The sequence below is a fragment of the Homo sapiens genome, chromosome 10, assembly GCF_000001405.40.
Source record: "Homo sapiens chromosome 10, GRCh38.p14 Primary Assembly".
In the NCBI taxonomy this organism is placed as follows: domain Eukaryota; kingdom Metazoa; phylum Chordata; class Mammalia; order Primates; family Hominidae; genus Homo; species Homo sapiens.
Window position 1 is genome coordinate 18066265 of NC_000010.11, and position 16431 is coordinate 18082695.

General features: G+C 41.0%; 2 annotated features.

Annotated features, from left to right (window-relative positions):
* Nucleotides 228-1427: an enhancer, noted in NCBI's record as "CDK7 strongly-dependent group 2 enhancer chr10:18355421-18356620 (GRCh37/hg19 assembly coordinates)". NCBI's record gives its function as "activates an origin of replication core promoter dependent on BRD2, BRD4, P300/CBP, MED14 and CDK7 cofactors, with strong dependence on CDK7, by STARR-seq in HCT116 cells {active_cell/tissue: HCT116}" and the evidence as "EXISTENCE:reporter gene assay evidence [ECO:0000049][PMID:35650434]".
* Nucleotides 13743-13943: a silencer, noted in NCBI's record as "peak890 fragment used in MPRA reporter construct". NCBI's record gives its function as "represses an SCP1 promoter by STARR-seq MPRAs in K562 erythroleukemia cells {active_cell/tissue: K562}" and the evidence as "EXISTENCE:reporter gene assay evidence [ECO:0000049][PMID:32103011]".

Here is a 16431-nt window from a genome sequence, read left to right on the forward strand (position 1 = left end):
TCATGTGTTATTTAGAAGTGTGTTGTTTAATCTCTATTTTGAGGATTTTGAGGCTTTCCAGTTATCTTCCTGTTCTGGAGTTCTAGTATAATTCTATTATGGTCTGAAAGCAGACATTTTATGATTTCTTTTAAATTTGTTAATATATATTTTTATGGCCTAAAATATGGTCAAACCCAGTAAATATTTCAAGTGAGCTTGAGGAAAAAGTGTATTCGGCTGTTGTACATCTACAGGTGTCAATTATAGTCACTTGATTGATAGTGTATTGAGTTCCACTGCGTCCTTACTGATTGCCTGCTGGGCCTGTTCCTGGTAGAAAGCTGTTGAAGTCTCCAACAGTCATAGCAGATGCATCTATTTTTCCTTGCAGTTTACTTGGCTAGAAGTTTGTCAGTTTTGTTGTAACAGAAACTGCTGTACGTAGACCGTTAGTATTGTGGTGGTGAGGCAAAGTGGGAAGAGGATGATTTTATAGTTTTTTGATTAGGACTTTTAGTGAGCTGATGCCTCTGATTGTGAACTTCACAAGTGTTTCTCAGTATTTTTCTTCCTTCTTAGGTGAGGCTGGATGGCTTGCGTGGGCTGGATTTTGGTATTTTTCCTCTCCCAGGTGGAAGGTCTGAGCGGCTGATGGCTGGCGTTTGGTAGTTCTCTTCCCCCAAGGTCCGTTAGGCTCTGATAAAGCCCCAGCAGCCTGGGCTCTGATTAACTAACTGGATTTTCCTGAGGGCAGACCTTGTTAAGAAGAACGCAGTGTTCTGGTTCCTTTTCTCTTCCACCCCCAGAAGTGGGAAGAGATTCTTCTCCGTTTACTCTAAGAACCTGGTGAAACTCCTGGAGGTAAAACTCACAAAGGGATGGAGACCTCTATGTCTGGGTCCCCTGGAGCTTTTAATGTTCAGGCTTGTTCATACTGAGTCACCAGGAATTTATCAATTACAATTAGGTGGGACACTCACTGGTTTCTGCTCTGGTAAGTTGCAATTCTCTGCGTTGGCCTATCTGTCTCTCCAACTTCTGGGGCAGTGCTGTGCTTGTGAAGCCTCGCTTCTTTTATGGATCCAGGAAGAGTTGTTGATTTTTCAGTTTTTCAGCCTTTTACTTGTTATTAGGACACAGTGGCAACTTCCAAGCAGTACAGGAAACTGGAAATCCCTCTGCCTATTTTTTTGATTGCATTGTTTGTGTTTTTGTGGTTGGGAGTCGGGAGTTCTTCATATATTCTGGTTCGATGATCAGATACGTCCCTTATGATTTGCAAATATTGTCTCCCATTCTGTAGGTTATCATTTCACCTTCTTGATAATATTCTCTGATGCATACAATTTTTAACTTCGGTGAAATTCAATCTATCTGTTTTATCTTTAGTTGGTTATGTTTTTGGTGTGTAAGAATCTGTTTACCAAATCTAAGGTCATGAACATTTACTCTCTTACTTTTGTGAACTGTCTTTTTTTTTTTTAACTTATCTCTCAGGCACTTCCCATATATAATCTTACATAATCCTTGCAACAAATCCAAATGATATTATTTTCCCTTTTTGATAAGGATATCTAACCTTATCATAATTTGCTCAAGACTCTACTACTAGTAAAATGGTAGGGCAGGGATTTAAACTAGTGTTTTCAAATTCCTGACATGTACTAATTTGGAGGATTCGGGAATGAGATATCATAATTTACAATATTTCTCAGGAATTCCGCAATCATAAGTTATTTTAAAATAATTTCAACATTTTCATACACTTTACTCATGATTATGTCTATCTTTGGAAGGCATGTTTGACAAATGAGAAGTATTTAGTAGCGTTTATGAAGTACAGTGAATGTTCAAATACTAGAAAATGGTAGGAAATGGTATCGAGTGGTATTCAAATAATGTAACATTTGGATTTCCTAGCAAGCTTAACAGAACTACAAAGAATCCCATGTAGAAATGTGCCAATGTAAGGATTTATGTGCTTCTAAAACTTCGTATTTCTTAGAACAGCATTCGTAGAATTTAAATGGAGCATGATATGGGTATAAGCTTATTAATATTTATTTCCTGTGCCAATGTGACTCATTGTCAGCATCACACAAGGCCAGAAACATACACGCACAACACAGCAACAGCCACAAGCCAAACTGATTCCATTGTGAACGCATGTCTCCTATATTGATTGATAAGCTTCAGTTCATGCTAGAGAATTATAATACTTTCCCCAAGTTTTCAACTGATTTTCCGGATTTGGAGAAATCTAAATTTTCTGAGAAATGCCAAGGAAGAATTCTTGCATAGAAATAGTAATTAGAACCAGGTCTGGGTTTTTTCCCCCTTCTAAAACTAATGTTCTTTCCACGACTATATCTGGCAGGCTCCCAAGAGCTGCTAAGAAAGAGGAAAGGAAAAGACCATTGGGTTTTATGGCTAGGAGGTCTTTGGTGTAACATCTTGAGAGCGATTATTGTGTATATTAGTTTCCTATTGCTGCTGTAATAAATTACTATAAATTTATTGGCTTAAATCCATGCAAGTTTATTCTCTTACAGTTCTGGAGGTCAGAATTCCAAAGTAAGTTTCACTAGCTAAAGTTAAGATGTTGGCAGGGCTGGTTCCTTCTTGAGGCTCCGCTGGAGAGTATGTGGAGTTTTTTTGCCTTTTCCATCTTAAAGAGGCTATCTTTATTTATTGGCTTGTGGTTCAGTCTTAGCCTATTTGTAGTCTCTTTGTGGTGCCATAACGTAACAATTATCACAGATTGGGTAATTTATAAAGAAGAGAAACTTAGTTCTCGTAGTTCTGGAGGCTGGAAGTTCAAGATCAAGGCACAAGCAAGTTCAGTGTCTGATGAGGGCTCAGTCTTGGCTTCCACAGCGTTGTCTTATTGCAGCATCCTCCGGAGGAAAGGAACACTGCGTCTTCCTATGCAGAAGAAATAGCGGTGAAAAGGGACAAACTCCCTCTAACAAGCCTTTTCATAAGAGTACCTGATCCCATTCATGGAATTGAATCCCTCATGACTCAATAACCTCCTAAAGGCCACACCTCTTAATAATCTTGCACTGGGGATTAAGTTTCAATGTGAGTTTGGGAGAGGACACCATCTTTAAAACCATAGTGATATGGACAGGAGGCAGCAAAATACTGAGTAGAAGAGAGAGGTTCCCTGGCAAGGGCCCCACCCTCAAGCCTGGAGACCCACAGCACTAAATGAGAACAGGCATTCGGTTTTTATGCCCAAAAACTGGCCTTTTGGCCTGCCATTCCCCCTATCCTGCCTCCATATCAGCCCCAAATCCCAAGCACCAGGAGAGATCAGCAGACCAGTGGTGGTGGAACGATGCAGCAGAGAAAGAAGAGGAGGGATGCCTGGACACCAAGGGAAGTCTGGCCAGGGGTGGTCAGAGAAGAGTCCAGCAGCTCGGTGGCCTGACTCCAGGGAAGGACCACCTTCCCACTCCATTCCCCTTCCAGCTCCCTATCCATCTCACTGAGAGCCACCTCCTCCTCATAATAAAACCTTGCACTAATCCTTTGAGCCCTGTGTGATCCGATTCTTTCGGGACACTGGGCAAGAGCTCGGGATACAAAAGGCTGTCACACTGGCCTTCTGCCCTTGCAATAAGGCAGAGGGTCCATTGAGATTAACACACAAGCCATCTGTAGATGGCAAAGCTGAAAGAGCATGGTAGCACCGGAGTTACAGGCACCCACCCCTAAACACTACCGCAGGGCTGATAGCCCAAAGCACTCATCCCAGCCTCTGCACCTCCCTGTCTGTATGCACCCCTAGGGGTTTGAGCTGTGGGGCAACCAAACAGGCGAGCCGTACCCCTGTTAGACATCCTGTGAGGGGAATCAGGGGACTCTCCTGTTTCAGTAGCAGGCCCCTTCCTCTACCTTCAAAGCATGTCAGTCCAGTCACTGCTTCTGTCGCCACACTGCCATCTCCTCTCACTTGGTGACTCCGTCATTTCTCTTGAAGGACAACTGTGATTACGTGAGGTCCATCAGATAATCTGGGAGAGTCTCCTCATCTAAGGATCTTTAAGCACATCTTCAAAGTCTCTTCTGCCATACAAGGAAACATTCACAGGTTCCCAGGATTAGGACAAGGTTATATTTCTGAGGCCATTGTTCAGCCAACCATGACTCTGGGGAATTTGGCTACTTATTATTTAAGAATAAAAGACATATGGGATGGGTAGAACCTGGCAATCAGTGAGCCAGCTATAGCAGGGTCCTGAAAAATGTGCCCCACTGCCACTAAGACCACATCCCACTACACAAAATCCAGGGTCCAGTAGAACTCAGCAGGCTCCTATCCTGATCAAAACCAAAGGCTGGTGATGGCTGTACACTGAAATTACAAGTGGCTCAAAGTTGAAGGAAAGGAGATAAGGATCCAGGTGGCCAGTGCTCTGAAACTCCAGTGAGCAGCCACCGTGGGAGTCTATAGATAGGGCCTGAGCTCCTGCTTAAGCTCTCATTTCAAAGCAGTTCCAGGATCTCTGAAGGAGGACAGAGAGGAGCCACATGTGGCTTCAAGGCTTGCAGGATAACTGGAGGAACCAGCTGGCTCCTGCACTAGAAATTCAGATTGTGGAAAAGAAAAAATGGAAAGGCATAGTTCTTATGACCTGAGGATCTTGGTAGAAAGCTGGCTTTGGAAATCATGCTATCCAGCTGGGCATGATGGCTCATGCCTGTAATCCCAGCACTTTGGGAGGTCGAGGCAGGTGGATCACAAGGTCAGGAGATCGAGACCATCTGGCCAACATGGTGAAACCCTGTCTCTCCCAAAAAAAAAAAAAAAAAAAAAAAAAACAAAAAATTAGCCAGGCGTGGTGGCATGCGCCTGTAATCTCAGCTCCTCAAGAGGCTGAGGCAGGAGAATTGCTTGAATCCAGGAGGCAGAGGTTGCAGTGAGCCGAGATCATGCCATTACGCTCCAGCTTGGGCAACAAGAGCAAAACTGCGTCTCAAAAAAAAAAAAAAAATTCATGGTATCGAAATTCAGCATGGTAAATTATGGGTGCAGTGGGTGAGCTATGACTCAAGAACAACATGAGATTTCCCGTTGATTGGAATTAGGAATAGTTTCAGCAAATCAAATCTAAAGAAAGGCAGACTTTGTTTTTCTTGAAGTTATTGAGTTTTATAACTATTGAGTTTTGTAACTGTCTGTACATGCACATGTGTGGGCATGTGTGAATTTTAAAAAGAGTACATTTGACTTATCTGATGTCAGAATCATGCACCAATATTGCCTATGGCTTCCTGCTGCCAGGTGCAATGTTGCAATAATTAAAGTAAAATTCTTCTCCATATAAACCCATGTGAAGGGTTCCTTGAATGTATTCCTGGAATGGAATTCCTGGGTCATAAAGTATGCTCAAGTACCAGATCATCTCCAGATTGATGGCCTCTGACTACATTTTCCTAGCAGAGCATAAGGATTGAGGTATTCTCACATCCCTGTAAACATTTGTCATTTTACAGCTTACTAGCTTTTGCCAATCATTTTACTAAGTGATAGCTCTTTGTCACTTTAATTTGTATTGTTCTGATTACTAATGAGTTTCACCATCATTTCACATGCCTTACTGCCACGTGGCATTCCAATGCTATAAATCTCTTTGTATCTCTTGCTCACTTTTCTGTTGGACTTATCTTGTTCTTGGTTGATATCAAATGCCTCTTGTATTTTCTACATATTAATCCTTTGTCAGTTCCGGGTATTGCAAATGACTTTCTCCATTCCTCCAATCTCTTTTTTCCATGATGTCTTTCAATAAACAGAAATTCTTAATTTTAATATAAACAAACTCATGAAGTTTTAGCCTTGTTGTTTGTGCTTTTGAGATTTTGTGAAAAAATTTCCCCTATCACAAGTCACAAAAATATTTCTTTATATTTTCTAATAACTTTAGACCTTTAATCTATTTTGGGTTCACTCATCTGGTGCTAGACAGTGATTTAGCATTATTTTTTTTTCTGGTAGTGGTCTAGTTTTCCTAATACTAGCTATTAAATAATTTATTCTTTCCCTAATGATTTGTGGTGACGTTTTATGACATATTAAGTCCCCCTAGATATGTGGGTCTGCCTGTGATCTCTCTCTTTTCTGTTCTGTTGGTCTACTTTGCTTCCAGAATCATACTTTAAAAAATTACTGTGACTCTGGTAAACCTTAATGATTGATATGATGTGTTCCCTTTATAGATTTTTTTTCATTTATTTATGTATTTATTTACTTTTAGAGACAGAGTCTTGCTATTTTTCCCACCTGATCCTAAACTACTGAGCTCAAGCAATCCTCCCATCTAAGCTTCCTGAGCAGCTGGGATTACAGGTATACACCACCATGCCCAGCCTTAGATTTTCTTTAAAGAATGACTTAGATTTTGAGGACCTGCCCTCTTTTTTCTTTCTCTTTTTAAAGTTAAAATATATCATAGTTTTTAGAGGTTGTATTAGTGTAGCACACATGCAGAAAAGCACACAGATCATGACCATAGGCTGGGTGCGGTGGCTCACACCTGTAATCCCAGCACTTTGGGGGACTGAGGGAGGTGGATCACGAGGTCAGGAGTTCGAGACCAGCCTGGCCAATATGGTGAAACCCTGTCTCTACTAAAAATTACAAAAATTAGCCGGGCATGGTGGCGGGCACCTGTAATCCCAGCTACTTGGGAGGCTGAGGCAGGAGAATAGCTGGAACCCGGTAGGCAGAGGTTGCAGTGAGCTGAGATTGTGCCACTGCACTCCAGCCTGGGCAACAGAGTGAGACTCTATCTCAGAAAAAAAGAAAGAAAGAAAGAAAAAGACCGTACAGCTCAATGACTTGCCACAAGGTGAACACACCTGCATAACCAGCACTCACATCAAGAAACGAACCACAACCCAGAAGGCAAAGGAGCAGAGGAGGCCAAGGCAAAATAAACGGGCCATAGAATAATGCCTCTTTTAGCTAAAACAGGACTGTCTTTCAAAAGATGAGCTCTCACTGAAATATGTGCCTGATACTCCTGAATTTCCATAATGAGCACATCTAATCTTTCACTGTGCACATACTTGGGATGCAACTTACACTGTGCACATACTTGGGATGCATTGTAGCTTTTCTCTCTTTTTAAAAAATGGACTTAGTTTGTTAAGTCAGAGCTAATTTTAAATACATGTGGCCATTTTGCCTTTTGATATTGTAAGTGGATGGCTCCCGGGACAAGAAGGGCAGCAAGGCACTATCTGACCTTACTCTGAGATAACGCTCTCAAAACCTTGTCACTACTGATTCTCAAAAGCCTTGTCCTGGGGTCCAGGCGCTCCCTACAATAAGCAAAGCAGACAAACAGCTATGCCCCAGAAGTGCTGAGAAAGTCTCCAGCTCAAAATGTCCCTCCTGAATTTGTCAGATTTTCCTTCAATTTCTTTAGCTCTAGTGTTATTGACCTTGACTCTTTTTTTTTTTTTTTTTCCAGACAGGGTCTCGCTCTGTTGCACAGGCTGGAGTGCAATGGTGCTGTCGCAGCTCACTGCAGCCTCCACCTTCTGGGCTCAAGCAATCCTCACACCTCAGTGTCCTAAATAGCTAGGACCATAGGCATGCAGCACCATGCCCGGCTAGTTTTTTAAAATTTTGTGGTGACAAGGCCTCACTATGCTGCCCAGGCTGGTCTCAAACTCCTGGGCTCAAGCAACCCACCTGCCTTGGCCTCCCAAAGTGCTAGGATTATAGGCATGAGCCACCATGCCCAGCAACTTTAACACTTCTCACCCTTCACAAAGGCGAGTGCCCCTGGGTACCACTGAATGCACCATTTAAGCCACTGTATTTTAAAAATTCAGTGAGTTTTACATCTTTCCCTGCTGCAATGTTTTGATGGAGTATCACAGAAAGATGAATACCCTGAGGGAGAAAAGGAGGAGGCAGGGAAAAAGTGACATCTGTGAGAATTAGTACAGTTGAGTGGTTAAAACATCCATCACAGGCCGGGTGCGGTGGCTCGCGCCTGTAATCCCAGCACTTTGGGAGGCTGAGGTGGGCGGATCATGAGGTCAGGAGATTGAGACCATCCTGGCTAACATGGTGAAACCCCGTCTCTACTAAAAATACAAAAAATTAGCCGAGCGTAGTGGTGGGCGCCTGTAATCCCAGCTACTCGGGAGGCTGAGGCAGGAGAACGGCATGAACCCAGGAGGCGGAGCTTGCAGTGAGCTGAGATTGTGCCACTGCACTCCAGCCTGGGTGACAGAGTGAGACTCCGTCTCAAAAAAAAAAAAAAAAAAAAAAAAGATCCATCGCAGGAGACATAGGTTCAAATCCTAGCCTGGCTACTGTAACATCTGTGTGTTTTAGGGGTCATTGCATCTAACTCCATTAAGCGTTAGGTTCATTATTTATAGCATAGAAGAATGATAGTCCTAAGGTTGTAAGGCTCTGGAAAATGGGCATAATAATAGTAATAGTATGGTGAGAATTAAGTGAAATATTTGGGGTAGTCAGAAGAATGTCCCTCAAAGATGCCCATGTCCTAAACCCAAGCATCTATAAATATGTTGCCTTATATGTCAAAAGGGACTTTGCAGATTGATTACTATTAAGGACCTTGAGGAGATGGCAAAGGGGAACTAAGTTTACAGATGGAATTAAGGTTGCTAATCAGCTGATTTTAAACAAGATTATACTGGATTATCTGTGTGGACCCAGCGTAATCAGAAGTGTCCTTAAAAGTGGAAGACGGACGCAGAAGAGAGGCCAGTGTGATGTGAAGAACTGGACCTGCCGTTGGTGGCTTTGAAGATGAAGGAAGGGGCCATGAACCAAGGAATGGGGGTGACCTCTAGAAGCTGGAAAAGGAAAGAAAATATTCCCCTTAGAGATTCCAGAAACGAACACAGCCCTGCCGACACCTTGATTTTAGCTTCATGATAACTGTATCAAACTTCTGATCTACAGAACTATCAAATAAAATTGTGTTGTTTAAAGCCACTAACTTGATAGTAAATGATTACAGCAGCCATAGAAAACTAATGCAGTATTAAAAATCATAATGACATGCTGGGTACATAACAAGTCATCAGTAATCACATGTTAATTATGCAGGATAAATAGGAAAAATACTGAATACTTCTAAAGAAAATTTAATCTTTCACAGTTTTGCCCAGAGCTGACCCTGTGGAGGTCCTCAAAGACCTGCTCTTAAAACCACATAGAAACTCACAGAGCTGGATTTGGAAACTAAAATACTTCTTCTTAGTATTTATCATTTGGGATTGTCATGTCCAAGTTTACCCCTATTGTTGTTCTGCCTGAAAAGCACTTGAAAAATGTGTTATAAAATGTATGTATGTATGTATGTATGTATCCACTCTAGTTCATAGAAAATTAGGTCTATTCCTGGGCTATAGTAATTCCAAATGGATGTAACCCTATCTTATTCGTTGTCCTCATTCTAGTGCAGGCTCCCATTACCTCTCACAAGGATGATTTGAACAGCCTTCCAACCAGTATCATGAACATCGGTGGCTACTGCCTTCCAATCCATCTTCCACACTGTGTCCATGGTGACTTTTAGAAAGAAAAATCTGGTTATGTCACCCCCCAACATAAAGCCTTCAATGTTTTCCCATCACTTATAGGAGAAAGTCCCAAATTCTTCAGTGATTTTCAAAGGACTTTTCTGTTTGTTTCAAGCCCCTTTCTTTTCTAGCTCGAGATTTCACAGCCTGCCTACTTAAATTGGATGCTCTGAGCCACCAGGGTAACCCCATCATTCAAAACCATAAGTTGCACCCACCTGCCTCCTCACTTTTGCTCTGCAGTTTCCTCCTCCAGAATGTCTTTCTGTGACATCTTAGCAAGTCTGAGTCTTACCCAACATCGTCAAAAACCTTTACAGATCACCCCAGCTTGAAGCCGTCTCCCCTCTGAGTTCACAGAGCATGCCATACTGTTCATCTGCTACCTTCTAGAACAGTGATTTTCAAACAAACCTTAGCTTCTCTATAAACATGTAAGCCTTGGAGGGGAAAAAAGAGTGGGAGGTGGGAGGAAACAACAGCTTACATTTTGATGAGTCCCACACAGTAGCTAGAATAGTGCCTTTCCTTACAGTAGCCACCACCACCTGTGACTGTGTATATTTAAGTCGGTTGAAATTTATCGAATTAAAAATTCCTGAGTCACACCAGCCACATTTGAAATGCTCAGAAGCCACGTGTGGTTAATAGATGCCATACGGGATAGCATAGACACAGAGCATTTCTATCATCACAGAAAGTTCTACCGGTCAGTGCTGATCTAGAACACAGAAAATGATCAGTAATATCTGAGGAGTTAAAAAACAAGAAAGGGAGAGAGGAAGATTAGGAGGGATGGAAGATCACTCTGATTTTCAAAGGGTGTCAGGAAAAATTGTCCAAGACTTGGAAATGAGCAAAAGAGATTATTGAGTGTCGTTCCAGCAAAGGGTTGGCAAAACCCTCCAGGAATTCTCTGGTTCTATAGGGCTGTGCACCTTTGACTGACACTTTTTTTTTTCTTTTTCTTTTTTGTGATGGAGGCTCACTCTGTTGCCAGGCTGGACCACAGTGGCACCATCTCGGCTCGCTGCAACCTCCGCCTCCTGGGTTCAAACGATTCTCCTACGTCAGCCTCCTGAGTAGCTGGGACTACAGGCGAACTACAGGCACGCGCCACCATGGCCAGCTAATTTTTGTATTTTTAGTAGAGATGGGGTTTCACCATGTTGGCCAGGATGGTCTCGATCTTGTGATCTGCCCACCTCAGCCTCCCAAAGTGCTGGGATTATAGGCGTGAGCCACCATGCCCAGCTTGACTGACTTTTTATTATCTAGGCAATTTTCCAGCTCTGTAAAGGAGGAAGTTAACATGCAGAAAGCTGATAGAAATGCAAATAATTCTTGCCTGCAGTGATGCAAATAAACTTTGTTCTATTAGAGAAACCATTCATTTCATCTTGTTATAAAAGATAATCTCAAATATTACGTTTCATTGCCCCATAAGATATTAACACATTTTATATCTATTAGTAAATTTATTTCAGTATTCTTAGCTGACTAGATCTCTGTTCTTCAAAGTCTCTTTGAATATATCTTAGAATCTTACTAATTCTTTCATTGATTGAGTTGGATAAAATCTCAAACATCTTAATTTTTATATATGCATGAGATGTATGTTTTTAACATTTAAAAAATTATACCTTAGGTATTTTGGAGGCTGCAGTAAGATACCCAAGTGGGCCAGGTGTGGTGGCTCACACCTGTAATCCCAGCACTTTGAGAGGCCAAGGTGAGTGGATCACGAGGTCAGGAGTTGAAGACCAGCCTGGACAAGATGGTGAAACCCCGTCTCTACTAAAAATATAAAAATTAGCCTGGTGAGGTGGTGCACGCCTGTAATCCCAGGTACTCAGGAGGCTGAGGCAGAGAATTGCTTGAACCCAGGAGGCGGAGGTTGCAGCAGTGAGCTGAGATCGCGCTACTGCACTCTACCCTGAGTGACAGAGCAAGACTCCATCTCCAAAAAAAAAAAAAAATCTCACGTGGACTCACCTAGAAGCCTGATTAAAATGCCTTGCCTGAGTAGTACACTTCACGGGCTTTGCAAGCCCAGGTCTGCCTTTTCTTGGCTCCCAGATGGAATATTAAAAAGCAATAGAGTTTTAACTTTTCTGACTCTCTGATTCTTTAGGTTATTTTATCCTCTCTATTATTTTGGGGGTTTTGTGCATGTATTTGTTTTTGATTCTTGTTCATACTAAGCCACTAAGCCATTCAACATTATTTGCAAAAATGGGATTTAGTTTTATGGTCTGTTTTGGTGATCCTTGTCAGATGAATGATGGAGAAGAATGAGAGTCATGTTTTTAACTTTTTAAAAATTATACTTTAGGCCAGGTGCAGCGGCTCATGCCTGTAATCCCACTGCTTTGGGAGGCTAAGGCAGGAGGATTGCTTGAGGCCAGGCATTTGGGACCAGCCTGGGCAACAAAGCAAGGACCCTATCTTTACAAAAAAAACAAAACAAACAAACAAAAAAACATGAAAATTAGCCAGGTATGGTGGCGTATGCCTGTAGTACTAGCTACTCAGGAGGCTGAGATGGGAGAAACACTTGAGCCCAGGAGGTCAAGGCTGCAGTGAGCTGAGATCACACCACTGCACAGCAGCCTGGGTGACAGAGCAAGATCCTGTGTCTACCAAAAAAAAAAAAAATTACACTTTAGCAGGGCAAAGCGAGTGACAAATGAGAAGCTCCTTTGCCAAAAGTCCCTTTTAAGATACTGGTCCCCATACACCTAAGCAAAGAGAATTTAGAGGAGGCTTTGGAAAGAAGAAAATTGCCAAATCTATAATCAAAAGTTCTCCAAGACAGTGAAAATTGACAGGATAACAGACAAAAGTAATATAAAGGTGAAAATGTGCTTTGTAGTCCCCGAATATGTAAAAATAAAGGATATAATAAAGGCGGGGCAAGAAGCAGAGACTTTTTGAGTTTGTTTTCTGGGTTGAGATATTAAGAAGAAGAAAAAGTCTTTAAACAGCATCCCATGTGGTCAAGGTAGAAGTTTGTTACTTTTATATTATACTTTGAAATATTAAAAGAGGAAATAAAGAATGAGAAAGTCAGTACAGCCAGGACAAAATTTTTTTTATGAATATAAAAAATAAGAATAAAATTAATGATATCAAAGAAAAAATACCTTTACCCTCTTGGGTTCAGTACCTGGTAGCCTGCAAATTATAGTAACAAAAGATTGATTAACAGGAGAAAAACACAATTTGTATGAATATCTATTGGTGTTCACAGAAAGGAAGTAAAATTCAAAGAAGCAGTTAGACTTGGGCTTTTATGCCCTTTTAACAAAGGAAATGTGGTTAGGGCTTCAAGGAACAACAAATTGTGGGGAATTTATTTAGGAGAAAATGTATTGGGAAGAGATGTCCAATCTTTTGGCTTGCCTGGGCCACACTGGAAGAAAAAGAATTTGTCTTGGGCCACACATAAAATACACTAACACAAATGATAACCGATGAGCTAAAAAAAAATTGCCAAAAAAAACTCATATTTTAAGAAAGTTTACAAATTTGTGTTGGGCCACATTCAAGACCATCCTGGGCCACATGCAGCCCATGGGCAGTGGGTTGAACAAGGTTGATATAGTGGAACTGTTGGAAAATAAGAGTTATTTCAGTAAGATCGGTTTACAGACTTGTCTCAGTGTCAACGCCCAGTCTCCAACGATAAGAATTTTTCCTCTTTCTGGCGAGGGTGGAGGGAACACCCTCACAAAGGGAAATTTGTCAGCTACTTTTAGGTAGATAGATAACTCTTCCTGCATCTGTTGATTCTCAGTAGCCTTCAGCTCTAAATCATCTTTATGCCAAAATGGCATATGTTAGGGTGACATATTCTGATCCCCTTCAATGACTTTCTACAACTGTATTAGGTTTTGATGTGTGAAGATCAGCAAAAATTGAAGAAAGCACTTATTCATTCATTTATTAATTCCTTCAATGAACATTTATTGAATACTAACAGTGTGCCAGGCACCTGGCCAGGAGCTCAAAATAGAGACATTCTTTGCTCTCAAAGGCATTCAAGCTGGTAGGGGTCAGATATGGAAGTTAAGTAAAATACAGTGCCAAGTGGCTGTGATATAAGTATGTGCATGATACAAAAGGAACACAATAGCATAAATTGTCTATTTCATCTGAGAAAAAAAATACTGAAAACATGAATGTTGCAGTTACTTTCCAGGGCTTCTGATCAACTCTGAGTGCAATCAGAAGTCAGAGTCACTTGTGACTCAGCAGTGATTACTGTCAAACAGCAGACTTAGCTAGCAAATTTGTGTTTACTGGGAGCTATGTTCAATAAACAATTCATCTGGAGGCATTACTTTAGTTGAAAACATATGTTTTTAAAAGTTTTACCCGTTGCTTATTTTCTTCAAAAGAAAAGTAAACCAATGAAACAATAGTAATTATAGCTACATCCAGCAATATATCACTGTAAGTATATAATATATATTTTAAATTATATATATATTTTTAAATTATGTATATCATACAATTATTTTATATAAATATATTTTTTCATTTATATATATATATATAATTTGGGGTCTTGGGCTGATTTAGTGGTATCTCCAATCTACTTCAGACTGTCTTTTGCACTAACACACACCAAATACCTGTGTCTGACTTACTTTTAACCTAGTCTGGGAGCCTTTTGTTGAAATGCTTTGGATGGAATTTTATGTAGTGACATCTGTTCACTGTGAGAAAATGCATTAGCTGGAATTGTTTAGTTATTTCTATGCCTCCAGTCAATCTTTTTCTTAGAAGTTATCCTATAGCTTACATGCAACTTCTCACCAGAGCTCAAACTTATGCAATAGGCTTTTCTCAACTAGCTAAACAGATCTAATATCCATGGCCGCTGTCCTAACTGCTTGATGTCTTTCTATATACCTATTATAATCCAATCTCAAGTCGATTACAAATAAATTTTACCCTTTCTTAAGCTATCAATCATAGGCAGGAACTCTGTGAATTAAATTAGTTGCCCTGAGCAACACTGGTGTGTTGCATATTTCGAGGAAATCAGCATGGTTCCTTGAAGTAAACAGGGGTAATTTTCCATTCCTTTTTAGAAGACTTTGTGCCAGTAGAAAAAATCAAACCTCAGTGTGACAATAATACAAATGTGCCGATCTCCAACCACTATCTAATTCAACTGCTGCTAGAGCCAGAAGAAAGGTTCTTTTGTGTGGAAATTCATTCTGTGATTTGGGGCAGTCTGCAGCATATGGGGGCAACAGAAAAACACACAATCGAGATGGTTGTGCAGGTGGTCCTGTTAGGACATGACAGCTGTAAGTGGCCATTTATTCTGAAAGTCAAGCTGCTTACTTCAGTTTGCAGAAAACATATCAATTATTTTAAATTACTTTTCAAAAATCTTATCTCTGACTTCATCTTTCTCTGTTGTAAAAGCTGAGTTCATGTTACCTGGTACATGTTGTGAAGAGGATTTCCAGAATGCACTTGTGTCTGGGGCCATTTTGTTTTCCCCTGGATCTTTCTGTCAGTTTGTTGTGTGATTGCGAGCGTCTAATTCACTCTCCCACCCCGCTGGCCATTTTACAGAGAAGGAAACAGAGGGCCCCAGAACAGTGGCCTCAAGGCCCTCCAGCTGTTCAGACAGGATCCAAGGCTTCTAATTACAAATCCCACTTGAAGTGGGACTAAGTATTCCTTCTAGAGATTTTTGTTTAATCAATTGTACACAGAAACGTCTTGCTACAATACAATAGTTCTAATCATGTCCCTTGAAACCTAAATGTATGTGTATTATGTGGCTTATACTTGGAACCACTGTTTCTTTCTTTTCTCTCGGTTCTCCACCGCTTGTGAGCCATGAGGATCTGTGAATCCTGCCTGCCTTCCACCCTTCTTTCAAAAGTCCTCCCATTCCTTCCAATACCAGATTTTTAGCCTGTTCACCTTCTGCCTCAACTATTTTCATGGCTACTGAATTACAGCTGCCTCTAGCTTCTCCCTCACCCAACCAGTTCCTCCCACACAGTGTCAGCAAAAAGTAGTCTGACCGTGCTCCAAACTGAGAAATGGCTCCCTCAACCTAAAACTGGAGCTCACGGACCTTGAGGTATTTGGGGATGTCTTCTCAGGGCTCTGTGAATTTCTGTATATGTTTAACAACGTTTATGTCATCATTTTGATGGGAACGTGTAAAATATAAATATGGAATGATTAGTGTGCATGGACGATTTCAGCATTCACATTTGTTTTTTGTGTCGTCTCCCATAGAGCAAATTTTTAAAAACCTAATTCACTTTTTTCTTAAATTTGTGTTTAGAGCCATAAGGACCTTGAGATAGAGTGAAACAATGGAGCAAGCTTTGGAGGGGCTGTTTGGACAGGACATGGCTATGTTCAGAATTGAGCCATATTTTACAGATTTCTGTAAAGACTGAACATAATTATGCCCAGTGGTAGGTGATTTTCAAAAATAGTTTCCAACGCCAAAAATCTCAATCAGTTGGATGTCAGTTCTATGTGCACTGCAAAATACAACATGGATCTATTTGCTTTACCCCGTGAGTTGGTTCTTTGGTTTTCTGATGGTTCCATAAGGCTGGGAGTTTGTCAAGAGCATTGTGACTGATGCTTTAGAGCTCGAGAGCATTATTAAATATTTCCCCGTGCTGCTCCCCAGTCCTTCCTCCCACTCTTGTTATCTGTTCTCAGAGTCTGGTGACTAAGGTTTCTGAATTATAAGGTACACTTTTCAGCTGAACAGTCGTCCTCCCCCATTTTCTGGCTCCTTGGGGCTGTGTTTCAGCTCCGGATCACCAAGTTTCTTCTCTCATATCCTTCTGGTTTTAGGAT